The sequence below is a fragment of the Homo sapiens genome, chromosome 7 (assembly GCF_000001405.40).
Source record: "Homo sapiens chromosome 7, GRCh38.p14 Primary Assembly".
NCBI classification, from domain to species: domain Eukaryota; kingdom Metazoa; phylum Chordata; class Mammalia; order Primates; family Hominidae; genus Homo; species Homo sapiens.
Window position 1 is genome coordinate 64,318,649 of NC_000007.14, and position 18,944 is coordinate 64,337,592.

The 18,944-nt window shown below is 37.4% G+C and overlaps 1 protein-coding gene across 2 annotated transcripts in view, besides 1 other annotated feature; it reads left to right on the top strand.

Moving 5' to 3' along the window:
- Positions 1–18,944, top strand: part of ZNF736 (zinc finger protein 736) — a 42,674-nt gene that overhangs the window by 4,688 nt on the left and 19,042 nt on the right. The window contains exons 2-3 of one of the 2 annotated variants that reach the window (NM_001170905.3): positions 17,611–17,737; positions 18,239–18,334. In NM_001170905.3, the coding sequence (NP_001164376.1) occupies positions 17,611–17,737; positions 18,239–18,334 (223 nt within the window). Of the gene's footprint in view, positions 1–17,610; positions 17,738–18,238; positions 18,721–18,944 lie in introns of those variants that run through there. The other variant, NM_001294255.2, reaches the window with a different exon arrangement.
- Positions 4,270–4,470: a silencer, noted in NCBI's record as "peak6529 fragment used in MPRA reporter construct". NCBI's record gives its function as "represses an SCP1 promoter by STARR-seq MPRAs in K562 erythroleukemia cells {active_cell/tissue: K562}" and the evidence as "EXISTENCE:reporter gene assay evidence [ECO:0000049][PMID:32103011]".

Here is an 18,944-nt window from a genome sequence, read left to right on the forward strand (position 1 = left end):
AAGATTTACTCAATTCACATATTCTTAAAAATATTGGGCTTATTTTTTTAATTCATGACCAGTTATCTTTAAGTTAATTCAGTACCATGTAGATAATACACAAAGACATTTATAGACATATATATACATGTAGACACAACATATAACTTACTCATGTTTGTATCTAAAAGCCCTAGAGAGGGAGTTCATTGTAAAAGGGAGTAGAGCTTCAGACCTGAAAAGAAACTGTTTACCCACAACTCTGGGGGCTTCATGAGGAAAAACAGAGGTACCCTGCCAAAAAGGAGAAGCCTGTGGCACTTTATCTGTGCTCTTCAAGGGGTCTCAGGCTGCTAGAAGTTTCCTTTAGTTGTCCTCTATAGTGACAAAAGGTTTTAAGTGGAACATGAGACAGATAGAAGTAAATGGAAGAATTAATTCCAGAGGAGACAGTTTGAGAAGACTTTGTTTTCCAAAGAGCCAGTAAAGTTTTACATTATCCTTGCAAAAATCATGTCGGCAAGAGAAGAAACGGACACATAGAGATGCTAGTCTAGGGAGAGAGAAATTCAGTTAACTAAAGACCTTATATGGGAAAACCATAGGCCTCAAATACGTATGTATATGTATGTGTGTGTGTGTATATATAAAATATGTGTATGTATGTATGTGTGTGTGTGTATATGTATGTGTGTGTGTGTATGTGTATATATATATATATATATATATATATATATATATATATATATATATGCCTGACTAAGCCTGACTGTCAATTCTAAATAAATGGACTTTTGACTGTAGAGCTTTTAAATTTTTTAAAATTAGATTTTACCCAGGTAAATAGAAAACATTTCTTCCCTTTTTTTTTTTTTTTTTTTTTTTTGAGACAGAGTCTTGCTCTGTTGCCCAGACTGGAGTGCAGTCGAGCGGTCTTGGCTCACTGCAACCTCTGCCTCCTGGATTCAAGCAATTTTCCTGCCTCAGCCTCCCAAGTAGCTGGGATTACAGGTGCCTGCCACCACGCCTGGCTAATTTTTTGTATTTTTAGTAGAGACAGGGTTTCACCATGTTGGCCAGGCTGGTCTCGAACTCCTGACCTCGTGATCTGCCTGCCTCGGCCTCCCAAGTGCTGGGATTGCAGGTGTGAGCCACTACGCTCAGACAAAAACATTTCTTTACTTGTCTTTTTCTTTCTAAAATTTATCTTTTTCTTTCTAAAATTTACATCAAGAAGGAATTTTGGAGATGGGGCATTTTTGTTTACTGGAGGCCTAGGGTAATCACTATTCAAAGCTGTTTCTCTTTGAAATTTTTCAGTAAATAGTTTTCTTTTTTCCAAACCACAGTATATGGTTTTATTTAGTTCCAGAGAGAAGACTAAACAAACAAAACAACAAAAGTTTCTATTACACTCTAAATATAAACTGAAATTTTAAATTAAAGGGATACCTGAACTAGTGACTAAAAACCAACACAAACATTCATGAGGCCAAATCCAAGAAATCCTGTATGACTTTAAAACTTCAGAGAAATAACAAAAAAATTGTAGCTCTTCTGTAATCAAAACTTCTCCTAAGAACAGCTTACTGCAAGTGGGTTGCAATCTATATTTTCAGGCCACATTTTTTAGTATCTCAGCTTCTCAGTTTACCATCTACCCACAAAGGCCAGACACAAGATTTTAAGAAATGGTTGGTAAAACAGGAGAATGAAAGCTGTCTATGGGAGTAGACAAGTTTACAAATGTGGACTCCAGAAGGTCAAGAGCAAAAATCAAATAATAAAAACAAATACATTAGTAATTAATTATTATGTATGTAATGTTTTTTTGCCTAAGCTAGAGATAATTCATTGAGAAATAAAATTTTGAGGTTTGGTCTAAAAAAACTTCAATTTTTTTTTCTCCAATTTGATCTCAGCTAGAATGCTGTTTTGCTAATTCTCTGGATGTTAACATTTCAAATACATGGTAAGATTTACATCTCCGAGAGACTGAGAAAAGACTGGAAAAAGTTAAAGTATGTATTGTAAATCCTGCAGCAATCAAACAGGCATTTTGAACATTTAAAAGGTTTTTTTTTGAGGAAGTGAAAGAGCCCTCTTAAAATGTACTTTGAAATCTCTTATTAGAATGTAGCCAGGCAAAACAGAAAGAAGGCCTTTCATTAAATTTCATTCTAAAACCTGCCGTTTCCAATTGTGCATGGAAATATATTAATTTAGAAATGTCATAAGACCTTCATTTTTGTCATTGCATTTTGGGGTCATCTGAAGTCATGTCGGTACATTTACCCAGGCATTTGCAAGATGAAGCTCCATAGGTATTATACATAAGTTCAGCTTATGTTTCTAAGGCATGTTACCTAGAAGGAAAAGAATGGTTTTGATGATCAGTTTTCCATAATTTAGAAACTTTTCAAAGGTGATCATGGCCAGAGCAGTGTACCAGGTCTAAGTGTGCTGTGTATGAGCATCACTCCTCAAGGTGTCACCCAAGAGTTGCTGATTATAGTGCTGGGTGAGCAATGCTTATGTTTACTTCCAGCTTAGTTAAAAGTCTCTGCAGGTGTTTTTCTTTTGGGAGGACCCTGTGAGACTGGTACAAAGCATTGAAAATCATCCTAACACCTCTACAAAGTCTCTAGTTGCCTAGAGCACCCAAATGAGTCAGTTAAAGAAATTGCCTTTTATCTTTGGGATGAGAGAATTCACTCCCATGCACCTTTTGCTTTGAAGGTCCCAAAAAGTCAAGTTCAAATTAGAAGCAATAGAAAACAGCTGTGTTTTTTAAAGCATGTTACCTAATTTTAGAACAAAAGAAGTAAAACCACCAGGGCTAGACTGCCAGTATTATGACCCAGATTTTCTGTCTTGAGACAGTAGCAGAGAAAGCAGTTAAAAATATTGAAATTAAAATCTCCTGACTTTAGCCAAAAATGGAAATATTTTTTCTAGAAAGTGAGGGTTGAAAAGAACAGCTCAAGCAAAGTCTTGACCTCATGAAATAGTAGGGAGATCTGAATTCAGGAGGACTCACCCCTTACACTCAACAATGTACTGGGAGCTGGAAGAATACAAGGGGTTCTCATTGACTAGTTTCTGAGTTCAAGAGGGATGTTGGATGGTTGGGGGTGTCCCTCTGAATCCTGCTCACAGCACCAGAAATATCAATCCAAAGGAAGAAGCAGGGGCAAAAAAATAAAATTTTAAAGAATTTACTTCAGCCAAGGTGAGGACAGCTGCCTGGAAGACTCAGATGCATGTTACCTAAGATATGAACTTTGGCCTTTTTAATACGGTTTATAAAGTAAGAAGCAGAATAAGTAGTCAGCCATTGTCAGGAATTCTCGTTAGTTTGCAGAAATAACATTGATTAGTGATAAGCTGTATGTTGTTGAACTACAGTCTGAATTTAGCAATGAAATAGCTGGATCATATAATTCTATGTTCTAAACATAGAAGAAGGTACATTTTATGGTTTTTTTTTTCCAAGAAATGTCCACATTGTTTTTTATAGTGGCTACACCATTTTACATTTGCACCAGGAGTTAAAAATCATTCTAATTTCTCCCTCTTCTTTTTACCGCTTGTTCTTTTAGGGATTATGCTGTTGTTTTTCATATAATAGCCATTCTCATGTGTGTGAAGTGGTATCTCAATATGATAGAACATCAATTTTTATATTTATTTTATAAAGTTTTATTTTTTATGCTGCCACTATGCTAAATCTTGGTATTTGTCAAATCTCTTGAGTTTCTAGGTATAGTATATCATCTACAAATAGAAATTATGTTTTTATTTTTTTCCTTTGGGAATCATGTTTGATAATGCTATGTACAATATGCCAAGCACTGTTCTAAGAAGTGTTAAGATAGTAACATCAAAATACATTGTGAGCAGGAGTGAAGATACAGACATTTCTAAAATTACGGCTGAGAATGTGACAAAAGACATCTAATAGAGAAGAAAGTTCGCTTTAAAAAGGACCTGAAACTTATTCTCACAATTAAAAAGTCAACTTTTATAAGTTACACAGCCTCTTTGTGTCTCACAGCTCTTATTTGTGAAACAGATAATAATAACAGATTATTTATCGTTGAGTATATTAAGAGACAGAAGTAATATCCTGACTTGAAAATTAAAATATTTATTAGTGTAATTAACTGAGATAACAGTAATAAGAATATGTCAATTATTGGAACAGATTAGATAATAGTTTAATAGGACCATCAACATTTTAATTCTATAAAAAATGTATGTCTTTCTGTTTACTCTTTACAAAACTACTTAGTCACTCTCTATTACTTAATTACTAAAGCCTCCTAATTCTTAGTAAGGCCTTTCTAGGGCCACCTAAACTTACAGTCTTTAACCACACTGTTTATGGATTCCCTTCTTTAGCGCCTTCTTTTTTTCCTTATCTTGCCTGGTGCAAACCACAGTTTTGCTCTGCTTTTCTGTCTTATGTGTTTGTATAAAGACATCTGCCTTTATGTAAATTCTAACCAATTACAGCTGTGACATTTTCCTCGAAACATGTAAATTCTGTGAGTTCTTTTTTATTTGAAATCTCTTGTATCTTTACCATATTATGGGCACTCATTTGAAGTAATAAATATTTTTTAAAAATACCGGATAAGAAATTTTGAAACACAGTCAACAAATATTCATAACAAATATTAAACTACAGTTGCTTATTGAGCATGAAACACTTGTGATTACATTTCAATAGGTTCTGTGCTCTCAAAGTATGTTTTAAAAATTTATTTTTTTCAATTAAACTTAAGCAGTATATTGTTTTTAAAAGTAAAACAAAAAAAAATACTATTCACAATAGCAAAGACATGGAATTAACCCACATTGCTTTCAACAGTAGACTGGATAAAGAAAATGTGGTAGGTATATACCATGGAATACTATGCAGGCATAAGAAGGAAAAAGATCATGTCCTTGACAGGGACATGGATGGAGCTGGAAGCCGCTATTCTCAGCAAACTTAACACAGGAACAGAAACCCAAACGCTGCATGCTCTCATACTAATAAGTGGAAGCTGAATGATGAGATACATGGACACCTTGGGGGAACAACACACCCTGGGGCCTGTCAGGGGGCGGGGAAAGCATCAGGAAGAACAGCTAATGGGTGCTGAGCTTAATACATGGGTGATGGGTTGATCTGTGCAGCAAAGTACCATGACACACATTTACCTGTGTAACAAACCTGCACATCCTGCATATGTACCCCGGAACTTAAAAGTTGATTTTTTTAAAAAAGTAAAAAAATAAATACCTAAAAGCAGGGGGTATTTGTGGTACAAAAATTCATAGTAAACACATACCAACTATTTGAAAACATAATCTTATCTCTTAATGCAGTTATATTCTGCTTTATTACTTACATATTATAAAATATGGATTCATGGCATAATTGTCAAAGGCTTCCATCTATTCCTACCACATATCCATTTTTGCTGATTTTGTTCATTTTCTTTTTTTGTTTTTGATTTGTTCATTTTCCAACAAAGCTGGGATAAAAACATCTTCATGCTCATGCTATAATAACTTCTCACAATATGCCCTGGGTTACTCAAAAGAAAATGGAGTTGTTTTGCTCATGTTTTTGACACTTGAGTCAATCATCAACAAATAACATAAGAGGAGCCAAGGACATGTGCGTGCCTGTGAATCACTCAGCAAGTGTCAGGCAGGCCCCGGGCTGAAGGGAGACTCCAGGTGTCTCAGAAAAGGGAGGTTCTGCTCTAGTGCACACAGACTGTCACACTGTAAATTGTTCTGTGATGCCATGTTTCTCCCAGGGTCAACAGGAACTGAGGACACATAGGAAGTGAGTTAAGAGGGCAGACTCCTCCCATTTAGCTACCAGTATGTGATTTTGCCCCCCCGGACACATGCACACTATATAATAATGTGCTCACAACCCTCTTAGGACAAATCTCCATGCTCACATTTCAGCCAGATACAAGTGCCTAGAGGACTTTAGACTTATCCCTGTCCTCAGACGCTAAATCTGTGGCAACAACCTGCTCCATCCAGTCAACTGGGCTTCTGAGTCACCTGATCATAGTCTCATCTACCTGCATAGACACAGAAATAAGCCAGAGCCTAACCCTTTCTGAGCCACTATCTGTAGCACAAATTAGTCTTTCCACTAACTCTGGACTTTCCCCTGCCCATAGGTCCTATGAAACTAAATAATTCAAAATTTAAGCTGTTTGATACTCTAAATTATTCTGGGTCTTAAAGGAATGTAAGTACAAAATCTGGGTAATATGACAGGCAGCAGTAACAAGGCAGCTGTAACCTTTGTTTTTCTGTTTATGGATTACACCTACTTCTACAGCTGCATTCTTTTGTCAGGTGTTGTCAATGGCCGAAGTGCCCCATGGAAGACCTCTTTCCCCTTCACTATTGACTTTCGTTATAGATTAACCTCCCTCTTACCTATGGCTATTGCATTGTCTTAAGATGAAATGTTAAATACACGCTTAGGTTGAAAAGGAAAGAAAAACCAGTTGTAAAAAAAAAAAAAAGTTGGAAAAATACATTGTAACCAATTAATTTTTTGTAAATCTTAAGCCAGCCTTGTATAGAAACTGTTGTAGTCTTGTTAAATTTGTTTTTCGCCTGTAGAAATAAGAACTTAACTTTCACCTATGAAGCACTCATCTTATTTCACTAGAGCTTTTGTCTCCTGGATGACTATTTCTAGCTTTTCACTTGAATAAACTCTACAATTGGATTTTGAGGCTTTATTGATTATTCAGATTATTTCAGATTAACAGTCCTTCATAGCATCTTTCTTCTGCCTTTACTTCCTGACTAAACCCTCTTTCATGTGAACAAATTGTACCCAATGCCACTCGTCGGGTGCCTGATTAAAATGCCTACTGGAAATCAGATGTCCATGAGTTCAAGGTCATGGCCTTAGACTTGGCTGTTGTAAGGGCAAATACAAATTAGAAATACCAGACTTAAATTATGAAACTTGAAGATAAAAAAAGACATTTTACTCTCCTTTTAAAAAATAATTTAAGAAAACTTTTACATGTAAATTTATTTTGTGTCTCTGTTAAATGTATGTACATCATTTAAACAGGTAAATAGGACTTTGTCAGCCTTTTTAACTTAGAAATGTCTTTCTCTAGGACCTGGAAACCATTGCATTGAAATGTAAATGGATTACCTTTCTGTCCTACAGTAGGTAACTTCATAAAATATTATGAAGCCAAGGAAATCTTATTTTGCTTTTGAATATAGCCAATTTAAATTTTCATTGAATATACCCAATATACATATAGGCTTCTCAATTACCCGGTTAATTTAAGATGAACTATATATGACAAATTATGCTGTTAAGTCTTCTACTTAAAGACTAAATATGGTGATTTTTATCTCTGCTTTTGTAATCTCAGCAGATTGCCTATGATGGGTATCACATTGTGGTTTAATTATGTAAAAAAAAAAATTTTCTTTCTCTTGTACCATTTTAGAGTGTCTCTGAAGTTGGAGATAATTTTGTTTTTAATTATGTTTTCCAAACACTGTACAGAATTACCAGACAGGATATAAACACAGGAGGTACACACAAGGCTTTAGTTCAGAGAGGCTTTTCTCTCTTTGGCTTGCCCCAAAATCTGCAGGCAGAATATTTATCTGCCTATTTTTAATACACAGTCCCTTCCAGAGCACTTCAGCCAGATTTGTAGAAAAATAGCTTCACAGCAGAGCAATCAGCCATTCCAGCCCCATCTTTCAATGCACTTGGCACCTTCAGACCTGAAAGTAATTCAAACACCATGGGACCCTGAATCCCAAATCTTTAGCCAATGGGCTAATGTTTTGTAAATTTTATCTTTTCAAAAAACTAACTTTTCATTATGTTTCTTCTGAATTTTTGTTTTTATATTCATTTATTTCTGCTATAGTTTTTATTTTTTCCTTCTAATTTTGGGTTTGGTTTGCTCTTTTCTAGTTCTGTATGATATATCAATAGTTTATTTGGAGATTTTTTTTTTAACTTTTTTTGATGTAGGCACTTACTGCTATAAACCTTCTTAGTACTTCTTTCATTGTATTCATAGTTTTGTTATGTTTTCATTTTCATTTGTTTCAAGAACATTTTAAATTTTTTTCTTAAATTCCTTATTGGCCTACTAGTCATTCAGGAGCATATTTTAATTTCTCTGTGTTTGTATAGTTTCGAAAGTTTTTTCTGTTAGTGATTACTAGTTTTATTCTATTATCATCAGAGAAATTACTTGATATAATCTTATTTGGGGGGAGATTATTTTAAGAGTTATTTTGTGACCTAGCTTATGGTCCATCCTTGAGAATAATCCAAGGGCTGAAGTGTAGCATTTGTATTCTGTAGCTTTTTGATGAAATGCTTTGTAAATTTCTATTAGGTCTATTTGGTTCATAGTGCAGATTAAGTTCAATGTTTATTTGTTGATTTTACTATCTGGATGATCTGTCTACTGTTTAAAGTCTCTGTTGCACTGGAGTTGATCTCTCTCTCTTTAGCTCTAATATTTGCTTCATATATCTGAGTTCTCCAATGTTAGGTGCATATAAATTTGCAGTTGTTGTATTTTCTTGCTGAATTGGCCACTTTATTATAATAACTTTGGTTGTCTCTTTTTATAGTTTTTGTCTTAAAGTCTGTTTTGTTTACCGTAGCTATTCCTCCTCTTTTTTGTTTCCATTTGCATGAAATATCTTTTTCTATCCCTTTATTTTCAGTCTTTCTGTGTCTTCATAGGTGAAGTGTGTGTCTTGTAAGAAACAAATTGTCGGGTCTTGGGTTTTTTGTTTGTTTGTTTGTTTGTTTTAACTCATTTGGCCAATTTGTGTCTTTTGATTGGGGAGTTAATTTATATTCAGTGTTGTTATTAATAAATAAAGACTTACACCTGCCATTCTGTTATCTGCTTTCTTGCTGTTTTGTGGTCTTTTCTCTCTCCTTTTCGCTCTCCCATTCATCCTTTCTTTTAGTAAAGATGATTTTTTCTAGTGGTACGTTTTAATTTTTAGATTTTATGTATGTGTGTCTATTACAGGTTTTTTATTTGAGGTTACCATGAGGCTTGCAAATAACATCTTATAACCCATTATTTTAAACGGATGGCAACTTAACACATATTGTAAAAATGAACAAACAAGAAAGCAAAGAGAAAACTAATAAAAGCTACAGTTTATCTCCCAACTTTTTAACATTTTATTGTTTGTATTTATATCTTATACTGTCTATGTCTTAAACTTGTTGTGGTTAGTATTTTTAATAACTATAACTGCCTCAAAAGTAGAAATATGAGTTATGGCCTTAAGGAGGTAGAGAAAGAGTTATTACTTTTCATAATTACAAGTAGTTATAGACTAATCTTTTAGTCTTCTCAAAATATGAATAGTTTACACACCACATTTATAGTACTAAAAATTTTGTCTTTGTGTCCTTCATATTACCAGTGAGTTTTGTACCACATGTTTTCTTATTGCTCATTAATGTCCTATTCATTTAGATTGAAGAACTGCCTTTAGCATTTTTTGTGGGACAGGTCTGGGGGTGTTAATAAAATCTCTCAGCTTGTTTGTCAGTTGTTTTTGTTTTTTTTTTTATGGTAGAAGGATATTTTTGCTGGATGTATTATTCTAGGATAAAAGTTCTGGCCTGTAAGATTTCCATCTCCTGGTCTGTAAGATTTCCACTGATGAGTCCACTGTCAAACATATTGGTGCTTGTTTGAATGTTATTTGTTTCTTTTCTCTGCTGCTTTTAGAATCCTTTATCTTTGACCTTTGAGAGTTTTATTAAAGATCTTCAGGTAGTCGGCCGGGCGCGGTGGCTCACGCCTGTAATCCCAGCACTTTGGGAGTCTGAGGTGGGCGGATCACAAGGTCAGGAGATTGAAACCATCCTGGCTAACACGGTGAAACCCCGTCTCTACTTAAAAAATACAAAAAATTAGCCAGGTGTGGTGGCGGGCTCCTGTAGTCCCAGCTACTTGGGAGGCTGAGGCAGGAGAATGGCGTGAACCCAGGAGGTGGAGCTTGCAGTGAGCTGAGATTGTGCCACTGCACTCCAGCCTGGGCGACAGAGCGAGGCTCTGTCTGAAAAAAAAACTTCAGGTAGTCATATTTAAGTGAATTGTGCTTGGTATTCTATAACCTTCTTGTACTTGAATATTAATACTTTTTTTTTAGGTATGGGAAGTTCTAGTTATCCCTTTGAATAAACTTTCTACCCAGAACTTTTTCTCTACCTCCTCTTTAAGGCCATATTTCTTAGAGTTGCCCTCTTGAGGCTATTTTTTTTTTTTTGGTCTCATCTGACTGTATCTGTTCAAATAACCTGTGTTCAAACTCACTAATTCTTATGCTTGATCAGTTCTGCTGTTGAGAGACTCTAATGAATTCTTCAATGTCTTTTGAATTTTCAGCACCAGAATTTTTGCTAGATTCTTCAAAATTATCAATTTTATTGGATCCAGATTCTGAATTTCTTTTTCTTCTTTTTTTTTTGTTATTTTGAATTTTGCTGAGCTTTTTTGAATTTCCTGTCTGAAAGGTTACATATCTCTGTCTCAGGATTTGCACACTAGTGCCTTATTTAGCTCATTTAATGAGGTTGTGTTTTCCTGAATAGTCTTAATTTTTGTGAATGTTCATTGAAGTCTGGGCATTAATGAGTTAGGTATTTATTTTAGTTTTTGCATTCTGGGCTTTTTAATACCTGTCTTTCTTAGAAAGGCTTTCCAAGTATTCAAAGGGAATTGAGTATTGTAATCTGAGTCTGATCATTGCAGTCATATCTGCATTAGGGGGCACCCCAATTTGAATAACACTGTGATGCTTGCAGACTTGTAGAGGTACCACTTTGGTGGTCATAGGTAAGATCCAAGAGAGTCTCTGGGTTACCAGGCAGACTCTTTTTCTATTTTTTTACATTCTGCCAAATAAATGGAATCTCTCTCTCTCTGCATGCTGAGCTACCTGGAGCTGGAGTGGGTGTAACACTAGCACCCCTGTGGCCACCATCACTAGGACTACACTAAGTCAGACCCAAAGCCAGCACAGGACTGGCTCTCACATAAGGCCCACAGTGACCACTACCTAGCTACTACTGATGTTCACTCAAGACCCAAGTTCTCTTCAGTAGGTGGTGAATCCAGCCAGGCTCATGTCCTTTCCTTCAGGGCAGTGAGCTCTGGGCTGGGGGTAGCAAAATGCCTTTGGTAGCAAGAACATGGAGTCAGAAACCTTAGGAATCTACTTGGTGCTCTATTCTGTTGTGGCTTAGCTGGCACCGAGGCCATGAGACAACATCCTTCCTACTCTTTTTTCTCTTTTATCAAGCATAAGAAACCACTCCCCATGGCCACCACCACCCAGAGTCCACAACAAGTACTGCTAGGCTACTGCTGATATCCACTGAAGACCTAAGTGGTCTTCGGTCAGCTTGTGGTGAACTCTGCCAGGCCTGCTTCTTTTGCTTCAGGGAAGTGGGGTTTTTTTTGTTTTGTTTTTGAGACGGAGTCTCGCTCTGTAGCCCAGGCTGGAGTGCAGTGGAGTGATCTTGGCTCACTGCAAGCTCCGCCTCCCGGGTTCCCGCCATTCTCCTGCCTCAGCCTCCCAAGTAGCTGAGACTACAGGTGCCCACCACCGCGCCGGCTAATTTTTTTGTATTTTTTAGTAGAGACGGGGTTTCACTGTGTTAGCCAGGATGGTCTCCATCTCCTGACCTCGTGATCCGACCGCCTTGGCCTCCCAAAGTGCTGGGATTACAGGCCTGAGCCACCGTGCCCGGCTGGGAAGTGGGTTTTTTTTCTGACCTAGGGTGGTTCCAGAAATGTCATCCAGGAGCCAAGGCCTGAAATCAGAGACCTCAGGAGCTACCTTGTTACGGCTACCCCACTATGGCTGAGCTGCTAATCAAGCTTCGAGACAAAGTCCCTTCTTCCCTCTCTTTTCCTCAAGCAGGAGTCTCTCCACATGGCTGCAGCAGCTTGGATTGCACTGTACTGGGTCTCACCCGCCGAAGGGCTGCAGCAAGTTACTGCTTACTGGTTACTGCTGATGTTTATTCAAGGCCCAAGGGCTCTTTACTCAGCAGGTGATGAATGCTGCCAGAACTGGTACCTTCCCTTCAAGGCAGTGTGTTCTCTTCTGGCCCAGGGTATGTCTAGAACTGTCACTCAGGAACTAAGTCCTAGAATAGGAGCCTCAGGGCTTTTTCTGATGCCATATTCTACTGTGGCTGAGATGATGTCCCAATTGCAGGACAAAGTTTTTATTAACTCTTCTCTCCCCTTTCCTCAAGTAGAAAGAAAGATTTTCTCCTGGAGCTGTGAACTGCACTGCCTGTGCCTAGGGTAAGGGTAATAATGCAGGCACTTTCTTGGCCATCCCAGTAGGCATCTCACAAGGTCACATGCACTTCAAGTTTTCTGGCTCTGAGCCTAGCAAAGCACCAGGATTTGCCCAGGAGTTGCAGTCCCAGTGGCTTAGACTGCCTTTCAAGTTTATTTAGAACCCCAGAGTGCTTTAGCCTATGGTGGTGGGGCTACCTGAAACTCAGGTTTTGATTACTGAAATGGACAATTCCTCTCTGACTAGGGCTAGTCTGAGTGCTCCCTCTGTAGGCTCTGGCTGAATTCTGCCCCATGCTGCTTTCTGCTATGACAGGCAGCACTGAGTTTTACTGCACAGTCTCACAATCACCGCACTCTCCCTTCTGTAAGCACATGGATTTTCTCTCTCTGCTGAGCTGCACTCCCAGGGAATGGAGGAGGGCTGCTGTTGGCAATTAACAGCTTTCTTTTTTACCCTCTTCACTGCCTCTTTGATTTGATGCTAAAACTAGGTCCTGTGATCACTCCCCAGAGTTTTTTGCTCTTATGAAGATGCTTCTTATTTGGATAGTCATTCTATTTGGTGTTTTATCTGGGGGATGATTGCTGGAGGGTGCTATTTAGTCATCTTGCTCCACTTCCCTTGCAGCCATGTTGTTTGAATTAAGTGCCACATATGAGGCTAAGGTGAGCCCGGGGTCAATCACGAGCGCTTTCAGATACATTCACGAGAGGTGAGTTTAGCTTTAGTTCCAAATGAAGATCATAGAGACTGCTCTGCTTGGATTTGGTAGAGGCAGGTCAGTGTGGCCCATATTCCCATTGCTGCAGTAGAAATTTCTGGCATCTGTGGCAGAGAAAGGCAACTGAGTGATGGAAAGGGGAAACTCACATTTTGGTTTTTATGTAGGATTTTACTGGTTCTGAACCTCTCTTGTGATAAAGAACAAAGGCAGTCTTTATCTGCAATTCTAGGTCCTTCTGCCTGTGGGTGTGGTGGTTTCAGGGGAGGGAGTTTTGCTCATGCTTCAAAGGCATATTCTCAAGAAACAGGTGTAATTTGTGCAGATAATCACACCTGGGAAGGGATCACAGAGAAGGAGAAAAAGAAAGAAATGGCTTATTCTGAGGTGAATGTGTCTCAGGTCAGAGACTGTCCAACTTTTTCTTCTGAAATATCATGTGTGTAGAACTTGCAAATGTTTACTTCTCTACTGTCGGGGAACCTGCCCCCAGTCTTTCTATTTTCCATAAGTGTCGGCCGGCTGAGAAATAAAGAGAAAGGGTACAAAAAGAGGAATTTTACTAGGCCACCAGGGGTGACATCACATATTGGTAGGACTGTGATACCCACCTGAGTCTCAGACTAGCAAGTTTTTATTAAGGGTTTCAAAAGGGGAGGGGGTGTAAAACAGGGAGTAGGTACAAAGATCACATGCTTCAAAGGGCAAAAAGCAGAACGAAGATCACATGCTTCTGAGGGAACAGGACAAAAGGCAAAACAGAACTGATAAGGGTCTGGGTTCAGCTGTGCACGTATTGTCTTGATAAACATCTTAAACAACAGAAAACAGGTTTCAAGAGCAGAGAACCCATCTGACCACAAATTTACCCGGGCAGAGTTTTTCCCCACCCTAGTAAGCCTGAGGGTACTGCAGGAGACCAGGGTGTATCTCAGTCCTTATCTCAACCACACAAGACAGACACTCCCAGAGCTGCCGTTTATAGACCTCCCCCCAGGAGTGCATTCCTTTCCCAGGGTATTAATATTAATATTCCTTGCTAGGAAAAGAATTTAGCAATATCTCTCCTACTTGCATGCCTGTTTATAGGCTCTCTGCAAGAAGAAAAATATGGCTCTTTTTGCCCGACCCCGCAGGTACTCAGACCTTATGGTTGTCTTCCCTTGTTCCCTAAAAATCACTGTTATTCTGTTCTTCTTCAAGGTGCAATGATTTCATATTGTTTAAACACATGTTTTACAATCAGTTTGTACAGTTAACACAATTATTACAGTGGTCCTGAGGTGACATACATCCTCAGCTTACGAAGATAACAGATTAAGAGATTAAAGTAAAGACAGGCATAAGAAATTACAAAAGTATTATTTGGGAACTGATAAATGTCCAAGAAGTTTTCACAATTCATGTTCCTCTGCCGTGGCTCCAGCTGCTCCCTCCATTCAGGGTCCCTGACTTCCCGCAACACGCTACTTGTGATGTTTTGCCTTATCAGTTTAACTCCTTTTTCACTTTTTATTCTCATGATAGTCAAGGGGCTCTGAGAAATACTTTTTCCTTATATACCAGAGCCTTCTCCTTATTCCCTACGTCCCAGCTTTTAATAAGCCGTGAAAAAATTGTCACCATGAATTTATACCTGCAACATTACAAATGTTTCTTCTGTGGCTGTCGAACATGGAAGGGTGTGGAGACCCAAGATTCCTGTTTGAGATGGGATCAGGTCTTTGGTTATCAGTGAAGAAGGAGACCATGTACTGTTTAGCTTCCATTAAATCTATGCAAAACTGCTTATAAAAATGCACATTTAATGAGAATGGTCTTTATTGCCCAGGATAACTCAGAAAGTTCTGAATAAAAAATAGAAGAGACTTCCTCTCTAGGATGCTAAAGCAAGGAAGTAAAAGAGGACACAAATGGAAAAAAAAAATCCGTGCTCATGGATAGGAAGAATCAATATCATGAAAATGGCAATACTACCCAAAGTAATTTATAGATTCGATGCTATTCCCATCAGGCTACCATTGATTTTCTTCGCAGAATTAGAAAAAATACTTTAAATTTTATATGGAACCAAAAAAGAGCCCATATAGTCAACACAGTCCTAAGCAAAAAGAGCAAAGCTGGAGGCATCACGCTACCTGACTTGAAACTATACTACAAGGCTACAGTAACCAAAACAGCATGGTACTGGTACCAAAACCGGTATATAGACCAATGTAACAGAACAGAGGCCTCAGAAATAACACCACACATATACAACCATCTTATCTTTGACAAACCTGACAAAAATAAGCAATGGGGAATGGATTCCCTATTTAATAAATGGTGCTTGGAAAACTGGCTGGCCATATGCAGAAAACAGAAACTGGACCACCCTCCCTTACACCTTATACAAAAATTAACTCAAGATGGATTAAAGACTTAAATGTAAAACCTAAAACCATGAAAACTCTAGAAGAAAACCTAGGTAATACCATTTAGGACATAGGCATGGGCAAAGACTTCATGACTAAAACACCAAAGGCAATGGCAACAAAAGCCAAAATTGACAAATGGGATCTAATTAAACTAAAGAGCTTCTGCATAGCAAAAGAAACTGTCATCAGTGAACAGGCAGCCTACAGAATGGGAGAAAATTTTTGCAATATATGCATCCGACAAAGGGCAAATACCCAGAATCTACAAGGAACTTAAATAAATTTACAAGAAAAAAGCAATCCCATCAAAAAGTGGGTGAAGGATGTAAACAGACACTTCTCAAAAGAAGATATTTATGCAGCCAACAAACATAAAAAAAAGTTCATCATCACTGGTCATTAGAGGAATGCAAATCAAAACCACAATGAGATACTATCTCACACCAGTTAGAATGGCGAGCATTAAAAAGTCAGGAAACAGATACTGGCAAGGATGTGGAGAAATAGGAATGCTTTTACACTGTTGGTGGGAGTGTAAATTAGTTCAACCATTGTGGAAGACAGTGTGGTGATTCCTCAAGGATCTAGAACCAGAAATACCATTTGACCCAGCAATCTCATTACTAGGTATATGCCCAAAGGATTTTAAATCATTCTACTATAAAGACACATGCACACATATGTTTATTGCAGCACTATTTACAATAGCAAAGACTTGCAGCCAACCCAAATGCCCATCAATGATAGACTGGATAAAGAAAATGTGGCACATATACACCATGGAATACTATGCAGCCATAAAAAAGAATGAGTTCACGTCCTTTGCTGGGACATGGATGAAGCTGGAACCATCATTCTCAGCAAACTAACAAACTAACACAGGAACAGAAAACCAAACACCGCATGTTCTCACTCATAAGTAGGATTCAAACAATGAGAACACATGGACACAGGGAGGGAAACATCACACACCAGGGCCTGTCAGCAGATGGGGGCAAGGGGAAGGAGAGCAATAGGACAAATACCTAATGCATGTGGGGCTTAAAACCTAGATGACGGGTTGATAGGTGCAGCAATCCACCATGACACATGTATACCTATGTAACAAACCTGCACATGTATCCCAGAACTTAAAGTTTAAAAAAAAAAAAGTTTAGCCAAAAATTAGAGATTACAGAACATGGGAGATATTTGTAGCTTACATTTTGCCTAAAACTGATGTTTCTTCATGACTAGACTCAGATTGTTGACCCTTTTTTGTGTTAATGTTAATAATAGCACAGTAGTCTTGTATCCTTCTTTGTTAATCAGCACCTGATACAAATTTCTTTTAATATAGTTGATCTTAATTTATTTACTTGGTAAATACGCTTTCTGACAGATATTTTTCACTCTACAGTTCATTATTTTTCTCTATTAATAGATACCTTGGGGAGTTTATCAAGTGATGTGCAAAAACAAGATTTAGCCATGTTTAATCTGACAGCTCTTCTTTCTTCCTACCTTCTCTTTGCATATCGCTTGCTATGGAAAATGAAGGCTCTCGTCTTTCTTTACTGGTCAAATAAACTAAAAACCTAGGCTGTGCCACTTACTGAATTTTTGACAAAATATTCTCCTTGGGCCAGAAGCAACGATACCACTGGCAAACTTCTTACAAATTTGGAAACTCAAGCTTTACGCTAGATCTTCAGAGTCAAAATCTAGGTTTTAACAAGATCTCCTGTTCATTGCTATACACAATAAGATTTGAGAAGTATGCTTTTAACTCACCATGAAGTTTCCATATGGGAACTATAGACAGCTTTTCTTGTATTATGTAAATGTAGCATTAAGAAATGTACATGCCTGTGTTAATGTCCTTTATTTTATACTGTATCATCAAGAAAAGTATTGCACATACACTGGTTTCATGATCTTATGCCATCTTTTCTCAGAGTTAAAAATACACTAGAGAATATTTCTGTGCTAGAAAGTATCCTACTGGATAACTCCAGTAACTCATATAAGTCAGAACCAGCTATCTTTATTCTCATTTTACCTGATGTCAAATCAAGAATTCTTTCTATGGTCACTTGGTAAATATGTTTTGTTTTCCAGGGAGTGTTGACATTCAGGGATGTGGCTGTAGAATTCTCCCCAGAAGAGTGGGAATGCCTGGACTCTGCTCAGCAGCGTTTGTATAGGGATGTGATGTTAGAGAACTATGGAAACCTGGTCTCCTTGGGTGAGAATAACTTCAATATACAACTCATATTCTACATTAAATATTTTATTTTCTTCTGATTTTTTTGGAGGTTCTGCTTTGCATAAATGAGTTTCAGAATCCTGCTTCAAAAAGAAAAAATTGGGTATCTGTTGAGGTAGAAAATATAATCTTCAAGATGTTTCATCTTAACATTAATCTTTCCCTTTTTTGAGCTCATCTGTATACTTCAGTCTAAATTAGTGGTAATATCAGAAATTTAGTAGCATAAAATATTGTTACCCACACCTAAAAATGCAATTTTCACAGCTGATTTTTGATTCAGTATTACTGGGTAATAGAGCTAAGAACCACAAATTTAAAATACTTTCTAAATATTCTAAAGTTTCTGTTAGGAAACAGTATATTAAAATTAATTTTCTAGAGTCTTCTATAATGTTCTCTCTTCTCTACTGAGCATAGTACTAGATTAGTAATCAGATTATCCTAGCAAGAGTCATGTTTTTTTTTCTAATAAAACAGGTCTTGCTATCTTTAAGCCAGACTTGATGACCTGTCTGGAGCAAAGAAAAGAGCCTTGGAAAGTGAAGAGACAGGAGGCAGTAGCCAAACACCCAGGTAGGTGGGAGTGAATGAAGCAGATGACACAAATGACGGATCCCAATGTCAAGGAGGAAGCCAAACCTTTAAACATGCTTCCAGAAGCTCTGCTCCAGTGGAAATGGTTTCTGAGAAACCTTCATTTCTTTCTCTTGCTTTAACATAGGGACATTTTTTGTCCCATTCTTGTGAATTTTCCAAGCACTGTACTTCCCCTTCAGTAATGTGTGTGTGTGTGTTGTGTGTGTGTTTTGTTTTGTTTTTTGTTTTTAGTTTACAGCAATAATGAAAGTCTTTCATGGCTTGACAGAAAATGTGTGATTTGACTGCTTTTCCATTGCTTTGGGGAAACAGCAATATCTGTATTTTTGAGAAACTATATTAAACCATTTTTTTAAGTTCTGTTTTTGGATAATGTCTAAATATTTAAGTTTTGGTGATATTACAGTTTGGATCAGAAATCCCAGGAATACCACAAAAAGATGTGTGCTTCCTGCTTTATAATTTTCTATTCTATGGAACCTTCAAACGTGATTTTACAGAAATTTATACTCAGTAATTATATCAAAACACTAAGCATCTCCCTAAATGAAACAAACTCTAAAATTGTGTTACTTCAAATGTTATT